Below are 21,475 nucleotides of genomic sequence, written 5' to 3'. Positions count from 1 at the left end.
TGCCAGGACATTTTTCCTGTCCTCATAAAGCCAATAGTCTAGGGAGGAACACATATGTTGATCAAAAACTTGAAACCAACCCAAATGCCCATCAATGGCAGAACGGATAAAGGAAATGTGGCACATAGACACCATGGAATACTATGCAGCCATAAAAAGAACAAGTTCATGTTCTTTGCAGGGACATGGATGAAGATGGAAACCATTATTCTCAGCAAACTAACACAGGAACAGAAAACCAAACACTGCATGTTCTCACTCATAAGTGGGAGTTGAACAGTGAGAACACATGGACACAGAGAGGGGAATATCATACACTGGGGCCTGTCGGGGGGTTGGGGACAAGGGGAAGGAGAGCATTATGACAAATACCTAGTGCATGATGGGTTGATGGGTGCAGCAAACCACCATGGCACATGTATACCTATGTAACAAACCTGCACGTTCTGCACATGTATACCAGAATTTAAGTAAAGTTTTTATTTAAAATTTAAAAAAAGATACAATACAATATGGTGAGTATGAACCTTGAGCTATTCTCAAAGGATTAGAAGTGCAGAGAGGAAGCATGCAACGTGCTTAGGGTTGGGGTGCAGGGAGAGAGGGGGTGAGTGGTGTATCAGGGCAGGCTTCCTGAGGGAGGTGACACTGAGTCAGATCTGAAAGAATAAGTCAAGTCATACATGAAAGATGCTATGGAGGGAGGGGATAGGAAGAGGAAAAGAAGACTGGCCACAGGAGCACAGGCATGGGGGCAATCAACAAATATGGGGTCCTGGAGGCAACACAGGATTCTCTGAGCATGGAGAGGGAGGAGGGACTGTGTGATGAGTCCACAGAGCTGGGCAGGGCAGATTCTGGGAGCCCTGTACACCATGCTAAGCACAGAGCATGGCTCTTAATGGATAGAAAACCTTTCAGTGTTTGTAAGTATTTTAAGCATTTATAGAGAGATTTGCCTTTTAGAAGACACACTCTTGGTTGTGTAGAAGAGACTGGAGGGTGGAAATCGAGCAGGAGATCAGTGAAGGAAGATTTTGCAGAAACTCAGTCAACAGAGGATCAAGACCTGGACTTAGTTACTGGGATTGTGAGAGAGGAGAGACCAAAAAATGCCTTCTATATCTCCAGCATAGAAGAGTGGTGGTAAGTACAGGGAGGAGCGGAGTTTGAAGGGAAGAGCACGATTTCTGCTGCGGTCCTCAGTGAGGAAATCCAGGAAGACAGGCCAGGTGGAAACAGGAATTGGAAACATGAGTTTGGGGCTTGGGGAGGAGGCGAAGCTGGTGGTATCTATTTGCAAGTCATCAGCATGTGTATTGGTTTCCAGTGGCTGCTATTACGGAGAACCATAGACTGGGTTACTTAAAGCAATAGAAATTTATTCTGTCACTGTTTCTGGAGGCCAGAAGTCTGAAATCAAGGTGTCATCAGAGTTGGTTCCCACAGGAAGCTCTAGGGAGAATCTGCTCCATGTTTCCCTCCTGGCTTCTGATGGCTGCCCACAGTCCTTGGAGTCCACTAGCTTGTAGACCTATCACTCCCATCTCTGCCGCTATCTTCAAAAGGCATTCTCCCCATGTCTGTCCCTGTGTCTCTTCTCCTCTTATGGAGACTCTAGTCATACTGGATTAGGGCCCATGCTATTCCACATGACCTCACCATAACGAATTATATCTTGAGAGACCCCATTTACAAATCAGTTCACGTTCTGAGGCTCCAGGAAGGACACAGATTTTTGGGAGGGGACCCTGTTCTGCCCAACACAATATCTATGTGGTATTTAAAACAATGGGATTATGAGCTCATTCAAGACAGGGGTAACGAGTTGAGGACAAAACACCAAATTTTGGAGCTAGTGCAGACAGAGGAGCCATAGATGGAGAGGAGAGTCTGGCAGAACCAGGAGAGGCAACATCACAGAAATGGACAGTTTCAGGAGGAAGATGGCAGTGGACATTGTCAAGTTTGTTAGTGGAAGAGAGATAGTTTGGAATTGTCATTGAGGGAAAAGGGAGCTGGCCAGCAGTGAGTAAAAGACTAAGAATCCTTTTCAGATGTAGACTAGGACTTTGTAGACACACTATGCAATTTTCCCTATTATAAGCTTTCTTTCTTTTGTGTTCAGAAGCAGAGAAGGTAGAACATAGTACTAATGTAAGAATGAGGTCTTGGTAGGTAAGTGGACAGGAGGAACTAGGTGCAAGAGAATTGGGTGCAAGACTGCAGAGAAGCTCAGATGATCAGCCATGGAGTTGAGGCTGGTGAGAAAGGAGGAGGGACCAGGAGATGCTGATGGACTGAAGAGAGGAACATAGCAATTGATTAGATTGTGAAATGTAAGAGAGTGCCTCCAATTATAGATGCTAATAGTTATTAATAATAACTTTAATTTTCTCATTTCAACCAAGACAATTTCATGTTTAGCTAAGTGAAGATGTTGTGGGTGAAGAGATGTTGCTCCTAGGAAATTTAATGGAATTTAAAAAATGCATGAATCTCAATGATTACTGATGACTCATAAAACCTTTTCTTGGAGCTCAATGGACTAATTCAAAGTCGCACTAGATAATTAGTGGCAAGGCAGAGACTGGAATGAGGGCAATGGTAATATCAACCACCCGACCGATAGATATGATCCATGTTTAGCCTTACCAAACCTGATGACTGTCTTTTCTCAATGCACTTTGTCACTCAACCCTTCCTTTCCTTTCCACCACCTCCACCTTAGCTCACAACCTCATCACCTTGTGCTAGATTTAAGGAGGGAATGTCCAGGTGCTAGCCACACTTCTAGTCCTTTCTCTACCCTAATTTTGTTTCACAGGCCATAGAATCATGGAGTTTCTAGAGAAGAATAATGAGGCTTTCAATGGATTTCAACTTCCTGGGCTCGAGCGATCCTCCCACCTCAGGCTTTCAAGTAGCTAGGACTACAGGCATGTGCTAGCACGCCAACGAAGTTTTGTCCACCTCAGCCTTTCAAGTAGCTAGGACTACAGGCATGTGCTACCACGCCAATGAAGTTTTGTAGAGATGGGATCTCACTATATTGCCCAGGCTGGTCTCAAACTTCTGGGCTTAAGCGATCCTCCTGCCTTGGCCTCCCAAAGTGCTGGAATTATGGACATGAGTCTCCACTCCCAACCTGAAAGTTTCTATGCATTTCTCCCATACAAAACACTTTGTGACTTCCCATTTTCTACACGGTGAAATCTACATTTCTAGCCTCTATTATCTGACTTCTGTTTGATTTCTCACGTTATTCTCCTGCAAGTTGCCTTTTACAACCAGAATGACCCAAACCATTTCTTTCCCCCTCAAAACCACTGTAATCATATTCTTATATACTGGAATTATCTACTTCTTCTTGTCCACTCTACTTAGTCCATATATTCTCAAGCTACAAGTTATGTCCTATATCCTCTTTGAATTCTTCTCCCACCATTTTAGCCTCTCACCAACTTTTTGTTTTCTAGTGACTTTCTTTGGTTTTTATTAACCATACTGTTCATGGAGCATATTTTATTTTTCAATATTTTTACTATTAATTTTGTGGGTACACAGTGTATATATTTCTGGGATACCTGAGATATTTGGATACAGTCATGCAATGCATAATAATCATATCAGGGTGAATGGAGATCCATAGCCTCAGGCATTTATCCTTTGTATTATAAACAATCCAATTATACTCTTTTAGCTATTTAAAAATGAAAAATTGGCCGGACGTGGTGGCTGGTGCCTCTAATCCCAGCACTTTGGGAGGCTGAGGCGGGTGGATCATGAGGTCAGGAGGTCAAGACCATCCCGGCCAACATGGTGAAACCCTGTCTCTACTAAAAATACAAAAAAAATTAGCTGGGCATGGTGGCGGGGACTTGTAGTCCCAGCTACTCGGGAGGCTGAGGTATGAGAATTGCTTGAACCAGGAGGCACAGGTTGCAGTGAGCTGAGATTGCACCACTGCACTCCAGCGTGACAACAGAGTGAGACTCTGTCTCAAAAAAAAAAAAAGTACAATTAAATTCATATTGACTATAGTTACCCTATTGTTCTATCAAATACTAGATATTACTCATTATTTCTAACTATTTATTTGTACCTATTAACCATGCTCCACCTACTATCCCACCACCTCACTAACCTTCCCAGCCTCTGGTAACCATCATTCTCTCTATCTCCATGAGTTCAACTGTTTTAATTTGAAGTTTCCACAAATAAGTACGAACACCCGAAGTATGTCTTTCTGAGACCACGAGGCATATTTTATGTAATACTATGCATTAGTTTTTATTTTTTTGTATTTCTTTTCCTTTTTGCCAGATCTAAAAATTCTTGGAAAAGCCAACGTGATATGGTAGAAAATCCTGAAAAGAGAGTAAGAGAACCTAGGTTGTAAACCTAGTGATACAAGTGATTAACTCTGTGATTTTGAGTAAATCTCAGGGCACCTCAAGTCTCTGTTTATAGACGTAAGACCTGCGCTGGTCTCTTGGGCATGCTAGGTGCTCAATACATCATTGATGCTTTCTTCAGAACCCCCCTTTCCTAATTATGAAATTCTAGACATGCAGAGGCTAGGGGCCACTTTGAATTCCCATGTTCTTAAGGAATGCAATTGCCCTCAAAGATGGTTTGTTTTAAAATTTTAAAAATTAAATATACTCCCTTTGTTTCACCACTGATTTTCTCTTCTTTATAGTACCTGCTTCCGAGTACTAATAAACAGAGCAACCTTGACTTAATGCCTTAGATAGAGAAAAGAAGGTTCAATTGCACACCTTGAGAAAAATGAACCAGAAGGTTTGCTAGAATCCCTGCAGGAGAGGACATTATTTGGTTTGGGAAGGAAATGGACTTCAATTCTCTGGTCTCTTCATTGTTTGACTTTGCAGCTTTTTTTTTTTTTTTTTTTTTCCCCAAACTCCATGGGTCAAGGAAAAAGGAAGGTGAAACCCATGGACAACTGCGACATCAGACACAGCTGGCTGGGCCGCTCCGCCAGCCCCCACTCAGCAGGCGGGATGCAATGTTCAGGGCAAGGGAGGCAGCCAGCCCCTGGCGTGACATTTTCAGCTGTGCAGCTGTGGGCCCTGGCACGTTGCTGCTGGAGCTTGATGGTTGCCTTCCAGCCCCTGAATAGCTTTTGATTAGGATGGGATGCCTAGCAGATGAGTCAGATTTAAACCACGCTGCATGTGGTTAGTAGCAGCCATTTTTTTAATCACTGTCATATTGACGGGGATTACAACTCCCCATGAGATGTCTTAATTTATTTGGCCCCTAACCTTTAAGATGACAATCGCATTTTGTGAGCTTCTGATGCTTTTCTTTTTACAGTCACAATTTCCCCCAGACCCAGGCCTTTAACTCCTTTCCAGAATTAGATGGACCATGGATACCATCAGTTCTGGGCCTGACTGTACTGTAATTAGAGTCCCAGAAATGTTTGGAGCTGACTTTTACACCCTATTCTTCTTATGATACCAGAAGTTGGTGTGCTCTGGATCAGAGAGGGAATTTCAGAGCAGAAACAACTAATAAAACTGTGACCTGGAGTGGTGGGGGAAATGGATACCAGGCATTCAACAGAAAGGCCGTAGAATATGGGGCCTCCTAAAGTGTGATTCCCCTCATGGCCACTAGGTCAATGAGTCCTGAAATTTTGCCAACAGAAAATAATTCTTCTGGCTTAAACGTGTTATTTTATTGGCAAGCAGGTGTTCCTGGAAGGGGTCGCCAATTGGTCTCTTTTCAGACATAAATGCCTAAATGTGCATGAGTTTGTCAGATCACTTCCTGAGGTTAGATTTTGTTGGAGAGCTCAAAAAGTGAAAGAAAGGGCTGCGTACATTCCTGTAATTCCAGCGCTTTGGGAGGCCGAGGAGGGCGGATCACCTGAGGTCAGGAGTTTGAGACCAGCCTGGCCAACACAGTGAAACTCCAACACTACTAAAAATACAAAAATTAGCCAGGCATGATGGCAGGCACCTGTAAATGCAGCTACTTGGGAGGCTGAGAGAGGGAGAATTGCTTGAACCCAGGAAGCGGAGATTGCAGTGAGCCGAGATCATGCCATTGCACTCCAGCCTGCGTGACAGAGCAAGCAAGGCTCAGTCTCAAAAAAAAAAAAAAAAAAAAAAAAAAAAAAGTGAAAGAATAAGGCACTGAACAATTGGTGGGATGAATCAGGAGAGGGGCTGTGGGGCTGTCAGAGATGGGGAGAGTAAAGAAAGGGGGGCTCACTGTACCCATTTTCCTAGGCATGGCACTGTTAAGGAACAGAATGATGGAAAATCTAGACATCGTAGATGATATTAGGTTGGTGCAAAAGTAATTGCAGTTTTTGCCACTAGAAGTAATGGCACCAACCTAATAGTGATAGGAACAAAGTCATGTTTAGAATTCTGCTCTCATAGAGAGACAGGGAACAACCCAGCCTGTACCTTATAGCACAGCAGTGCATTGAGTAAGGTCCAGGGGCATGTTAAACGCATAGCCTAATACATTCGCCCTCTCCCTACTCCTCCCATTCCAACAAAGCATTTCATAGTCCACGGTCCCTTGTCTCAGCTCTCATAACACCATATGAAAATACAAGAGCTTTCCACAAAGTCATGCTAAGAGGGTTAAGTCATTAAAAAGACAATATTGTACCTATATTAAAAATAAGAGCCATAAATAGTCCTATAGCCCTTGGAGTATAAATATTACTGTGTTTCCTTTATTTTCCCAAATTAAGATTGGTTGACCCCTGTGAAAATAAAAAATGATAAACTTAGAATCATATTATAGTAGTCTTAGTAAAAACTAGAAAAAATAAGGTTATAATGGCTTTGATAGGGTCAAATCTTGAAATAAAATAAACTTTGTTTGTAAAATGAGTTCAAGAACTCAAAGTGGTTGGGTGCAGTAGCTCACGCTCTAATCCTAACACTTCGGGAGGCAAAGGTGGGTGGATCACTTGAGGTCAGGAGTTTGAGGCCAGCCTGGCCAACATGGTGAAACTTCATTTCTACTAAAAATACAAAACTGATCCGGGAGTGGTGCCACGTGCCTGTAATCCCAGCTACTCAGGAGGCTGAGGCACGAGAATGGCTTGAACCTGGGAGGCAGAGGTTGCAATGAGCTGAGATCTCAACACTGCCCTTCAGCCTGGACAACAGAGTGAGACTTCATCTCAGAAAAAACAAAAACAGAAACTCAAAGTGCAGGACTAAGCACTTCCTAATCTCAAAAAATTGAGAAAAGTTAAATTAAGCAGTGCTCATATTTGGTGGTCAATAGAATACAATTGTACAACAACCTTCAGCCAAAGGAAGACACCTTTGGGTGTGGGGAAAAGGGGCAGGGGAGAAGGAGATAGATAGATAGATAGATAGATAGATAGATAGATAGATAGAGAGATAGATAGATAGATAGATTGATTATGGGAGTTCCTTCACATAATGATGGAGGCCACAAAGTCCCATGATATGCCGTCTTCAAACTGAAGACCCGGAGGAGCTGATGGGGTGATTCAGTCCGAGTCTGAAGACTTGAGAACCAGGGCAGCCAATGGTGCAACTGTCAGTCTGAGTCCAAAGACCTAAGAAACTGGAGGCCACTCATGTTGTATTTCAGAGTCCAAAGGCCAAAGAACCAGGAGCTCTAATGTCTGTGGGCAGGAGAAGATGCATGTCTCATTCAGCTTGAGAGATGGCTGGGCACAGTGGCTCACACTTATAATCCCAGCACTTTGGGAATCCGAGGCAGGAGGATCACTTGAGGCCGGTGGTTCCAGACCAGCCTGCCTGGGCAACAAAGCAAGACCTCATCTCTTAAAAAAAAAAAAAAAAGCAAATTTGTCCTTCCTCCATTTTTAAAATTCTCTTCTGGCCTCAATAGATTGGATGACGCTTGTCACATTGGTGAGGTGATCTTTACTCAGCCTGCCAATTCAAATGCTAACCTCTTCTGAAAACATACATGCAGAAATAATAATAATAATTTTACCAGCTATCTGGGCATCCCTTGGCCCAGTCAAGTTGACACAAAAAATTAACCATCACAACCAGAAAGCTCACATAGTCTAAAATGAGGTCTGTCAAACTTTGTTCTTAAGCTTACATGAGCATGCTATACTTCCAGAACCCAACACTTTGATATCTGGTCTTATGACTGCTGTTGATCAGATTTCAGGGACTGAGAAAATGCATATACTCCCTCTTAAATCAGACACAAAAGCCTCACTGAACTCAATAAGATTAATATATGTGGTGGGCCATTAGTCCATCTGTATTCAACTAGGAGTCTGATTCATTTCACATAAATAAAAGTAGGCAGCCAAAGTTATGTAATGAATATAGGGCATTTTCTATAATCACCTGACACACTTAGGACTACCATGTTCTAGATAGTCAGCATAAATATAGCCTAGTAAATAGTGTATATGTATATGTATATGTTCAAGAGAAGTGGGTAAAGTGAGCAAAGACTCCTCTAGGATTCCTGTGGTACTGAATCCTCTAGGATTCAGTGTCATGTACGTGATTTTGAGTGTACATTCTGAGTTCTTGAATAATGCCTATCTGGTTACCCAAAAGTGATCATCTCTATAAATGATACCATAATTTTCTTAGGGGATCTGGTTTAGTAAAGCAGATATATCAAGATACTCCTTGCTTGCCTGGGTGTGGCTGGAAATACACCAGATTGGAGAAATGTGCATCTGATAACCATTGAAGTTGAGGTTTTAGTTTATCTCCTTCAACCAAGGGTTCTCACTGAATCTTTTGAAGGTCAACGTCCCTATCCAGCCCAACCAAGTACTCTTAATAGTGATTTTGATCTTATGGTATATGACTAGCACTTTGTGTTATAACTCTTCATGCCGTATGCTCCCCTATTTGAAGGAATGTTATAAAATCCCCCCCACCTTATTGAATGCTATTGATTAACCGATTCAGTCATTTATTCACTCAGTTCTTTGTTTATTAAATAATGCCCGAAGTATTCTAGGCCATTAGTCAGGAGTTAGTTAACATATACTTTCTAAGCTCTGGGGTTAAAATGGTGAGACAAATAGACATGTTTTCCACTCTCACAATCTAGCAAAGAAGACAGACATTAAGCATGTAATGGAAACTCATTACATGCCTAATGACAGGCAGGGGAAATGCAGTAAAGAAGAACTGGATGTCATGGGCGCATTTGAGAGGGAGCCAGGGAAGTCAGGAAGGCTTCCTTGTGGAAGTCAAAGCAGAAATAGGTTGGAAGTATTTGCATATCACTGGATAGTGTGGATGCTATTTTGCCTGGGTTATAAGATGTGCCTGGGACCCCAACTCACTGATACTGTATTCTGTGGCCACTTGAATTGGTCATAAAGCTGTTTCATGTGTCTCTGCATTTCTGGAGGACAGTGATTCAATGGGACATGCATGAAACTAGGAGACCTGCACCCAGGTCAGTTGCTGGAGCGGGGGAAAACTTACAGACTTTCTTCAACCTTGAGCTGCTGCTGTTTACGGATTTTTATCCTTAAGTGTTAAAACAGTTTCAGGGTAGTCAATGACCTTATTAAGAACTTTCCTTTCTACTCTAGTCCTAATAGGGTAATTCGGGTTTTCACACCCCTATCATACTGAAGGGGAACATAAAGCAACTATGGATCTCACTAACAATGGCATCCAGTCAATAGCTCCCTGTGGGAGTCCAACCCACAAATCTTCCCCATCTCATCAAGGAATGCTTGGAGTTTCTTACATCTACTTCTGAGTAGCTATGAGAAGTTCTTTCCAGACTGCTTCTGAGGGATCCCCCTGTTTCAGTCACTGTGTCAATACCTTTGTGATAGTGCCAGGAGGTGCATCCCAATTTGCTGACATTAACTTGGGGTCTAGGTTCTCTTGTTTTGTTGAGACAGGCAGCCATGTGCTTTGGGTTCCTGACAGCAATGAATCTAGTTGTCTTTGCTTTGAATCAAAATTCCAGTTTGCCACAACCCATCCACCACCCTTCCAGAACTTGTCGCAACTCTTCTGTGGGAGAAGGAGAGAATTAAGAAGCAATATATTTGGGAGGCCGAGATGGGCGGATCATGAGGTCAGGAGATCGAGACCATCCTGGCTAACATGGTGAAACCCCGTCTCTACTAAAAATACAAAAAAAAATTTAAAAAGTAGCCAGGTGTGGTGGCACGCACCTGTAGTCCCAGCTACTCGGGAGGCTGAGGCAGGAGAATCACTGGAACCTGGGAGGCAGAGGTTGCCATGAGCCGAGATTGCGCCATTGCAGAGCAAGACTCCTCAAAAAAAAAAAAAAAAAGAAATATAAACAAGACCACTTGGTGCTGCCACCTGTGGGCCTGTGCCCCATTCCTGCTTCTTTTTTTTTTTTTTTGGAGGCAGAGTCTCACTCTGTCGCCCAGGCTGGAGTACAGTGGCACCTTCTCAGCTCATTGCAACCTCCGCCTCCTCCCAGGTTCAAGCAATTCTCCTGCCTCAGCCTCCTGGGTAGCTAGGATTACAGGTGTGCGCCACCACACCCGGCTAATTTTTGTATTTTTAGTAGAGATGGGGTTTCACCATGTTGGCCAGGCTGGTCTTGAACTGCTGACCTCAAGTGATCGGCCTGTCTTGACCTCCCAAAGTGCTGGGAGTACAGGTGTGAGCCACCACACACACTTCTTAGCTGACAATGTGGGCTCCTTAGCTTGGAGAAAGGGGCCCTGCCCAGATGCAGGAACAACGTGCAGATAATTTAGGGGAGAGGGAGCCCAATCTATTACACACAAATTCAAAATTTCCAAAGCTTTGCGTGGGAACTGCTGTTATAAATCCTGTTATCTGTTAATGGGATTTGGGCCTGAAACGCCCACATGCTGCTTTGAAATTTTCCTCCATCTGTTCATTTCTGCAAAGCTTATTTAGGGCAAGCGACGTAGCCTACTAGTGTTTCCAGCTGAACAATTTGGGATTGTAGATCTGTGGAGAAAATAGATAAATGGTTTGCTGGGGACTTCCTGCTATGTATCTTCTTAGGCCCCCTCCTCTGGCGTCTTCTGTTGAGAAGGTTCTTGAAGAAGTGGAGTAGGAGGAATCATTAGCAACACTGCATAGAAGGAAGAGTGATGGGCAAGAGTTGTCCACTCAACTGTGGAAATGAGATCAAATAAATACTTAAGAGACTCTTTTGGGAATTGACCCTGGTTAGACCTAGTTCAGGAACACATCAGTTCCTTAATTTATCTTTGGAAAATCTCACTATAAACACTAGCCTTTAAAAAAAATTCAACTTCTATAGTTTTTTCTCATCTCCTTGTTGGTTATGGGTCAGCCACACCTAGAAGGTTTCTTCCCTCAGAATCACTTTCCTTCCCTTTCATGCCAGGTGAATGTTGGCCCTCGGGCTTTTTGAGCCATGTTGAGAGCTGTCATGGATAAAATGAGCCCAAAGCTCTCAGGGCCCTGACCCCTTCACTGGCCTGTTTGCTGCTCTTGGCCACAACTCTTCTACAGACCCAGTTTTCTTTTCGGAAAGATATGGAAGTACAAAGTCTCAGAGTTATTTCATAATTACAAAGTACTTCTTAGATACTTATCCCTCCAGCAAATATTTCCTAAGTGTCCAATAGGCACTGCACACTGGCAGGTCCCAAGGATACAGAGGTGAAAAAGATACAAAAGGTTTTTACCTCCACAGACCATACGGTTGAGTGAAAGAACTGAAATTAAGCAAATAACTATATGTACACGCATATTTTCCAGTTGCAATAAGTGTTATAAAGGAAAGTGTAATGAAAGATTAAAACTGGAGAACTTGATTGAGATGGAGGGCTTCCTGGAGGAGGAAACTTTCAACCTAAAGGCATTATTCCTCTCTTATGTCTAGATTCCACTTTCATTAAGGGCATGATTGAGACTTAAGTCAGCAACAACAACTCTTGTGGCTTTTCAAAGCAAATTTGCCTGGGTGTGACTATTCCTTTCCATTTCAGTGCTTTGATAATTGAAACCAAGGAACCACAAAACATCTAGAGATGAGTTATCTCCTAACCTGTTTTCAGTGTCTGTGTAACTCATTTGGAAAGTACTAGATTCATAGTTCTACAGATGAGCCTTTTCCACAAAGGTGGTGAAGTCGCTGGGAAGGGAGTAGGATGGGTAGTGTTTGTGGGAGGAAGACTCTGCTGACAATAGGCCCTGAGGCCAAAATAGAGGACCTTCCCTCCATGTTGGTGCAAAAGTAATTGCGGTTTTGAACCATGAATTTTAAATCATTATAACTAGGTTCACAAACATCTTTATTAATAAAAATAGGGACCATTACAATCAACACATTTTTGCCAATGAGAAATGAGTTTGTTTATTCCTGTAGCATAAAAATCCATGCTTTGGGATTTGATGAACTGTTGGAAAGCATTTTCTGCATCCTGCTGGTTATGGAAGCGTTTTCCCTGCAAAAAGTTGTCAAAGTGTCTGAAGAAGTGGTAGTTGGTAGGTGAGAGGTCGTGTGAATATGGCAGATGAGGTAAAACTTTGTAGTCCAATTTGTTCAATTTTTGAAGCACTGGTTGTGGGACATGTGGTTGGGCTTTGTCCTGGGGAAGAATTGGGCTGTTTCTGTTGGCCAATGCCGGCTGCAGGCATTGAGGTTTTCAGCGCATCTCATTGATTTGCTGGGCATCCTTCTCAGATATAATGGTTTCACTGGGATTCAGAGAGCTGTAGTGGATCAGGCCAGCAGTAGACCACCAAACAGTGACCACGACCTTGTTTTGGTGCAAGATTGCCTTTGGGAAGTGCTTTGCAGCTTCTTCTTGGTCCAGCCACTGAGCTGGTTGTCACTGGTTGTCATATAAGATCCACTTTTCTTGCCTGTCACAAATCTGATCAAGAATTGACTCCTTGCTGTTGTGTAGAATAAGAAAAGATGACACTTTGAAACAATAATTTTTTTGATTTTTGCTCAGCTCATGAGGCACCCACTTACTGAGCTTTTTCATCTTTCCAATTTGCTTCAAATGCCCAATGACTGTAGAATGGTTGTCGTTGAGTTATCAGCAACTTCTCATGTAGTTGTAAGAGGATCAGCTTCTGCGATTGCTCTCAATTGGTCTTTGTCAACTTCCGATGGCTGGCCACGACACTCCTCATCTTCAAGGCTCTCCTCGTCTTTGCAAAACTTCTTGAACCACCACTGCACTATATGTTTTTTAGTACAGTAGGCCAAATACATTGTTGATGTCGCAAGTTGTCGCCGCTGCTTTACAACCCATTTTGAACTCGGATAAGAAAAGCACTTGAATTTGCTTTTTGTCTAACATTATTTCCACAGTCTAAAATAAACATAAAATAAACAGCAAGTAATAAGTCATTAGCCAAAAAACATAAAGCAAGAAATGCCCATTAAAATGATGTATAAGATAACCACATTTATTTAAGAATGTATCCAATATCAAATGTCAAATTCCAACGATGCAAAAACCGCAATTACGTTTGCACCAATCTAATAATTCCAGGTGATCTATGGAGGTGGGACATTGATGTAGAGTTGAGGACGATAACTGGCTTCAGGATTTCTCAAGAAAAGCTTTGAGAGATCTACACCTTGGAAACCCCAGCCCTAGAGGAGTGTTCTTCCAAGACTCCACGAACAGGAAAAAGTCCTGGATAGCAGCTGAGTGCCGCCATATTAACCCTTTGGGATGGGCCCCAGAATCTGTGTTTCCATCCAGTTCCCAGGTGATGTTGACGCTGCTGACCCTGCAAGCAACCTCCGAGGTCTCTCTCCTGGTTTCTCTCTGCTTCCCTCAAATTTCTCACTTCTTCCACGGACACTTATTTTTACCCACACTTGTTATCACTCTCTCCTTTCTACAAATCTACCAGACCCCAACCTTCATCTCAGCTCACAATTTGGTCATTTCTAAAATGAATGAAACAGGCCGGGAGCGGTGGCTCATGCCTGTAATCCCAGCACTTTGGGAGGCCGATGTTCTGTGCTGGAAACACGTGAGAGGAGAAGAAAAGGCACACACACAATACCTTTAAGGGTGAACAACTTTTATCCCTGTAAATGACAATGCAGATATAATAAGCAAACCATATAATAAGCAAACGATATAATAAGCAAGTGATATAATAAGCAAATTGCAATGGGAAGGGGAGAAGGGAAAAGATACTTGCACTCACCAGACTATGGAGGATTCAGCACCAGACCGGGAAGCGACCGCCTGGGCTCCAGAGTCGGCCACTCCTCTGTGCACAGATGAGGAGAGGTCTCATGAAGCTTCGGCGCAGTCTGGGAACCTAGCTCTTTTTGTAGCGAGTTGTTTGGCATGAGGTCCAGTCACGAGGGCTCTTCATTGCTGTGGTCAAGGAACACAAAAAGGTCAACTTATTCTTGTGATTGTCTATTGTTTTTCACTAACTAACATATAGGAATAGATTGAAATAAAGATTTCTCTGAAACAGTGCTGGATGAAAGCCTCAAAGGGCTCATACAACCTGTTCTGGGACTTGGTGTCCATTGGTTATGTCCATGTTCAACTGAGTTCAAATCTAATATTTAACTTTTCCTCCACAGCCGAGGCAGGTGGATCACCTGAGGTCAGTAGTTTGAGACCAGCCTGGCCAACATGGTGAAACCTTGTCTCTACTAAAAATAGAAAAATTAGCCAGGCCTGGTGGCGGGCTCCTGTAATCCTAGCTACTCAGGAGGCTGAGGCACGAGAATCACTTAAACACTGGAGGTGGAGGTTGCAGTGAGCTGAGATAGCTTCACTGCACTCCAGCTTGGATGACAGACTGAGACTCCATCTCAAAAAAATAAATAAATAAAATTTAAAAAACAAAATGAACGAAGCAAAGAAAATATATGCTTTTTGCTTTCCCCATAGCACAGATATTATATCTGGGGCTTAGAGGAGCACGTAGGGCTACCCAGTATCTATAATAGAAAAGAAATCCTTTCTTTTTTTTTTTTTTCTGAGACACTGTCTCGCTCTGTCACCAGGCTGGAGTGCTGGAGTGCGGTGGTGCGATCTCAGCTCACTGCAACCTCCACCTCCCTGGTTCAAGTGATTCTCCTGCCTCGGCCTCCCAAGTACCTGGGATTATAGGCACACACCACCACGCCCAGATAATTTTTGTATTTTTAGTAGAGACAGGGTTTCACCATGTTGGCCAGGATGGTGTCCATCTCCTGACTTCATGATCCGCTTGCCTCAGCCTCCCAAAGTGCTGGGATTACAGGCGTGAGCCACCACGCCTGGCCCCTTTCTTTTTATGTCTTTCTGGTCTCTACTGAGTTTGTTTTAGGCTTATCATTTTCCAATGCTGGAATTGTTTTGTTTCTCAGAAATAGTTTTAACCTAAAACCCATTGGTTATGAAACAAAACTGCATAATGTCTACATGGGCATCCATTCATAGTGAAGTTTCATTGTAGTTAGATCGACTTTAGTGAACCTTTTTTGGATTCATTTGACAATGAGTTTGGATAACTCAGGAAAGGATGTAGAATCAATGATTTATGCATTATAGTCTGAAGTATGTAGCTGAATTTCAGTACTAATAATAGCATAGAATGGTGCTGTCCAAAATGCAACTCACATGTGTAATTTTAGAATTTCTAGTAGTCACATTTAAGAAAAGTAAACAGAAATGGGCGAAATGATTAATAGGGTATTTCATTTAACCTAATATATCCAGAATATTATTTCCACATGAAATCAGTATAAAAATTTTTAACGAGAAATGTACATTTTTTATACTAAATCTTTGAAGTCTAGTGTGCGTTTTGTGCTTACAACACATCTGAATTTGGACGGGCCACCTTTCAAGTGCTAGGTAGCCACATGTGGTTAGTGGCTTCTGAATGAGACAACACAGATATAAAGCATCGTTTTCTACTTTCTCTTTGACTGCCAGGGTTTAAGTAATGTCACTGTAAGGTTAACACAGTTTCAGTATTGTTTAGCCCAAATGCCACGTTTTATGGGTAAGATAATTGAGTCAGGGAAAGAGAATGTAGCTTGCCAGAGCACAGTGAGCTGGGCAGGCTCTGAGTTCACATCTCCTGCAGCCCAGCCAGGGCTCTTTCCCAACCAGACTACGCGCAGGCTGTGGTGACTCGCAGCACTTGTCTAGACAAGGAACGTGTCAATCTTTGATGATGTTGCATTCTGTGCTCTGCCTCTGAATTGAGATAGGATCAGTCTCAAATTCTTGAGATAAATTCATTAATTCACCGGCTCATTGATTCATTTGCCAGCCTACTACCTGTTAGACACTAGGAATGCCAATACACCCTAGAAAGACTCAGTCTGTGGGGGACAGACCAGCATTCCGCATTCATTGCAGCATCACCAAATACTGTGATGAAAGGTTTAACCAGAATGTGCACAGGTTTCAAATAGCTCTGAGGCCATCAGTGAAGGGACTGTGACTAAAGGCATATTATATGAAATGGCAGGAGTGCAGTGGAGAGTCTAACAGAATGGACAAGCACCACTGGCGACCAGGCTGAAATTCAGATCTTGATTCCTTCATGCAATAAACGTTTATTGAGCTCGTGTTGGGCATGTTAGGGAAATGCAGTGACAAACAAGATATACAGTTTGTGTATCAAAGAAGGTTGCCATCTAGAGGGGAAAACGTTCCAAAATCAATGTATTAAAATGAATAAACAAGTTACAAACTATGAAGCTAGGATAAGAAACAACATAAAGGGGCAGGGAATGATGGACAGGGGCAAGATATTTGACATTGATGGTCAGAGAAGACCCCTCTTTGGGGTTCGTATTACAGAAAGACTAGCTGTTTTAAGCATAATAGAAACACCCCAAAATGTGTCATGGCTCAAAGACAAGTTTTTTTCTTTCCACCCACATACAATCCAAAATGAACATGGCTTGATCAGCAGGTGCCTCTCTTCCATGCAGTGATTCAGGGACCCTGGCCCCAGCCATCTGTGGCTCCTCAGTTTTTAACATTTCCCTTCCATAATCCCCTTGCCCTTCTGCATCAGGGTTTTCTCCAGAATGGGTAGAAAGCCTGCAGTGATGCTGGTGATTTTCTTTCTCACCATCACTGGACACACTTAACTGCAAGGGAGGCTGGGAAGTCAGGTGTAGCCCAGGAAGAACAGGTATGCCCAGTGAGACACGTATGCCCAGGAGGAAGAGGAAACAGCTTGGTGTGAGCGTCTAGGTAGTCTCTGCCACACATACAAAACATCAAAAGGATTTATCCTTGTAAAGAATAGAGAGAAAAATGTTCCCCACAGAGGAAGTGATAGTGCAAAGGCTCTGAGGTTGAGAACGAGTTTGGCCTTTTTGAGGAACTGAAATAAAAACAGGATATCTGAAGCACAGAAGCAAGAGATCAAGAAATGTCAGAGAGTGGTGGACAAATGAGAAGGGGCCATATAAGAGAGGGGTTTGGGATTTGAAAACTTCTTATTGTTGAAAAATATACATAATACCAAAGTTACCATCTTAATTATGTTTAAGTGGCACTAAGTATGTTAACATTATAGTGCAACCATCACCACCGGCTATCTCCATAACTTTCTCATCATCTCAAACTGCAACTCTGTACCCATTAAAACACTAACTCCCCATTCCTCTCTCCCTGCAGCCCCTGGTAACCTCTATTCTACTTTCTGTTTCTCTGAATTTGGCTACTCTGCGAACCTCAAAAGAGGAATCATACAATTTTTGTCCTTTTAGGTCTGGCTTATTTCACTTAGCGTAATGTCTTCAAGATTCATCCCTGTTGTAGCATGTGTTAGAATTTTCTTTTCTTTTTTAGGCTGAATAATACTCCATTGTGTGGATATATGACATTTGGGGTTGATTCATCCAGTGATAGACATTTTAGGTGTTTCCATCTCTTGGCTATTGTGAATAATGCTGCAATGAACATGGGTGTACAAATACCTGTTTGAGTCATTGCTTTCCATTTAAGACTATATCCAGGAATGGAACTGCTGGATCCTATGGTAATTGTATGTTTCAGTTTTTGAGGAACTGCCATACAGTTTTCCACAGTGATTGCACCATTTTACATTTCCACTAGCTGTTCACAAGTCTTCCAGCTTCTTCACATCTTTGCCAACACTCATAAGTTTCTGAATGTGTGGGTTTCATAATAGCATCCCAGTGGATGTGAAGTCTGTGGTTTTGATTTGCATTTCTCTAATGGTTAGAGATATTGAGCCTCTCTCCACGTGCTTAATGGGTATTTGTGTGTCTTCTTGGGAGAAATGTCTATTCAAGTCTCTTGCTCATAATTAAAATTTTTTTTTTTTTTTACTGTCATTGAGGGGTTTGAGATTTTATTCTAAGCTCAATGGAAAGGCATTGTCAATCAATCCAGATGTCAGTCAAGCAGAGGAGTGACATGAGCCAATTTTCTTTATATTTCTTTCTTTCTTTCTTTCTTTTTTTTTTTGAGACAGAGTCTCACTCTGTTGCCCAGGCTGGAGTACAGTGGCACAGTCTTGGCTCACTGCAACTTCTGCCTCCTGGGTTCAAGCAATTCTCCTGCCTCAGCCTCCCCAGTGGCTGGGATTACAGACATGCACTACCGTGCCCAGCTAATTTTTGTTTTTTAGTAGAGACGGGGTTTCACCATGTTGGCCAGGCTGGTCTCGAACTCCTGGCCTCATGTGATCCACCCACCACAGCCTCCCAAAATGCTCTCATTACAGGCATGAGACACTGAGCCTGGCCCAAATTTTCATTTTAAGAAGAAGTGATTCCCCTTCTGTGTGAATTTCTCCAGCAATACCAGCTCCTGGGTCCCGCCAACAGAGTGGGCCGATGGTGAGGATACCGTCAACCCTAAAAGTCCTTGTTCACAACGGGCAACAATCAAGTGTAATTAGAGCAGAAGGCCTGAATTCTATTTTTCCTCCCACAAGCTTCAGCAGTGACTCATGCTTCTGCATTGCTACTGTGGTGCTCCATATTTCCCATGCTCCGGGGCTCCAGTGGGGTGGGGGCATGTGGTTGGGATTAAAGGCAGCTCTGAGCAGGTAAAGGGTCACTCCATCTCCAGGGCCCACTTAGTCCTCAAAGGGCCTGACAAGGGCAGAGCAATTAGTGAAAGTCGTGATATTGGTTGCCGGAGGTATGGCAGAGACACCTGTTCCTTGGGAAGCTGGTGACATTGCTAATTCATTTCACACCAGCCTGACAGGAACAGCCTGACTGAAGCAAGCGGTCAGTGATGAAGAAGAAATAGGATTTCCCCTCTCCCGAGAGAGCCAGTTCCCTCACCCTGATGTCCTTATTTCAGTTTCACACAGCTTGATAAGTAAAGCTAGAACTCAGTATTAGGATTAACATGGCCATTTTATTATTTATTTATTTATTTTTGGAGACAGGGTCTTGCTCTGTTGCCTAGACTAGAGTGCTGTGATAGGATCATGGCTCACTGCAGCCTCCATCTCCTGGTCTCAAGTGATCCTCCCACCTCAGCCTCCCAAGTAGCTGGGACTACAGACACACGCCACCATGCCTGGCTAACTTTTTAATTGTTTTGTAGAGATAGACTCTCCCTATGTTGCCCAGGCTGGTCTCAAACTCCTGGGCTCAAGCAATCCTCTTGCCTCCTCCTCCCAAAGTACTGGGATTACAGGCATGAGCTACTGCACTCAGCCTTTACATGGCATTTAAAAAATTTTGTCAGTTTTTTTTGGTACTTTTTCTTCCTCCCAGACATTCTTGTTTGTCCACTGAAGCAGAAGTTCTCAAACTTCACTGCATCAGAACACCCAAAGGACCCGTTAAAACACAGAGCACTGGGCTGAGCCCTGCAAAGCTTCTATTCAGTGGATCTGGGATGGGTTGAAGAATTCAAATGTCCAGCAAGTTTGCAGATGCTGCTGCTGCTGCTGCTCTGGCCCACTCTTTGAGAAACACTGTGTGAAAACAATCAGTGTAACTCTGTGGGGTCATGAAATAAGCTAATTTAGGGTCCGTAACATAGCAGTGATGGCAGCCACTGTTTCTACAGCCTGGACATAGACTGCCTACCTCTCTCAGTAGGGTTTCCTTCTGTACTGCAGTGTGCAAGGGCGTGTGGGGGTGTATGTGTCAGAACACAGACACGTGAGCTCATAACCTCCAAGAATTCTTCAAACACCACTGCTTTTCTAAGCAGAAGCAGCAGGTGGGAAGTCCCTGGCGCTGTTACAGCTGGGGGGAAACCACTTATTGTTTTTCTATTGTTTCTTTCATGTGATCAAAAGGAAAAGTGAGATTGTTTCTCTTACTCAGGCGTGCATGGGAATTAACACTCCTTAAAACCTGTGACTTCATTCAGTTCATTAAATACATGTTAATTGAACATCTGCTTTATGCCACTCTGTTTCACGTGCTGGAGACAGAGCAGTGAACAAAACAGAGTAAGTTCCTGATCAAGTGGAACCTTTTTTTTCTGGTGGCAGAGAAAAGAAAGAAACATACAGAAAAGTAAATGTGTAAATGTGTTGTATGTCCATGGCCAATAGATGCTATGGGGGGAATTACTCTGTGTGTGTATGTGTGTGTGTGTGTGTGTGTGCGTGCATGTGTGCATGCATAGTGGTCAGGGAATTATCTCCAACAAGGTGACACTTGAGCATAGGCTTGAAGCAAGTGAGGAAAGAAGCCATATGGAGATCTGGAGGAAGAGTGCTCCAAGCAGAGGGAACAGCAAGTGCAAAAGCCCTGAGGTGAGAGCATTCTTAGCATTTCCAGAATAGCCAAGAGGCAGGTATGGCTGGTGTAGGGTCATGAGGAAGAGGAGATGGGAGAGATGAGTTCAGACAGGTGATCTGGGCCAGATTGTGTAGGACCTCGTAAGCTATTGTAAGGATTTAGTGGGAGTCACTGGAGGATACTAAGCCTAAGAGGGTGTTTACATATTGGAAGGATCTTCCTGCTGCTGAGTGGAGGGTGAATATAAGGCAGTAATGGTGGAATCAGGAAGCCTAGTTAGGATGCAGTTTCAATAACCAAGGTGAAACTTGGTTTGAGGATGTAGCAGTGAAGGTGGTGACAAGGGGTAGAATTTTGGAGATAAGTTGAAGGAAGAGCCAACAGGGTTTACCATATTTTGGATGGGAGATAGGAGATAAGAGATCAAGGCTGATGCCAGGTTATTTGATCTGAGGACCTGGAAGAATGGAGTTGCCATTTACCCAAGACAGGGAAACTGGGAGAAGCAGTAGGCCTGTGGTCTCGCTGCATGCCCAGGAGAAAAAGGAAATACAGGGCGGAAAGGAAAGCAATATTGTAGGATACCAAAGAAAATCACTCAGTCCTACAACATCAGCAGAGCTGATGTTTGTCTCTTAATGTTTTCACAATTCTTTCCATTCCTTATTCATCTCCACTCATATTTTACAAATAGTAATAATTAACAATGTGGAGTGGTTAATATATGACAGGCACAATGAAAGGCATTTAACACACATTATCTCATCGAATCCTG

At 43.0% G+C, this 21,475-nt stretch overlaps 1 non-coding gene across 1 annotated transcript; it reads left to right on the top strand.

Moving 5' to 3' along the window:
• The first annotated feature begins 19,133 nt into the window (after positions 1-19,133).
• On the top strand, positions 19,134-19,211 carry MIR4293 (microRNA 4293). The gene has a single exon (NR_036181.1). It is a non-coding gene; the product is annotated as a microRNA 4293 (primary transcript).
• The last annotated feature ends 2,264 nt before the right edge of the window (positions 19,212-21,475 follow it).

Source organism: Homo sapiens, chromosome 10 (assembly GCF_000001405.40).
Source record: "Homo sapiens chromosome 10, GRCh38.p14 Primary Assembly".
NCBI classification, from domain to species: Eukaryota; Metazoa; Chordata; class Mammalia; order Primates; family Hominidae; genus Homo; species Homo sapiens.
This window is presented reverse-complemented; position numbering and strand designations above follow the sequence as displayed.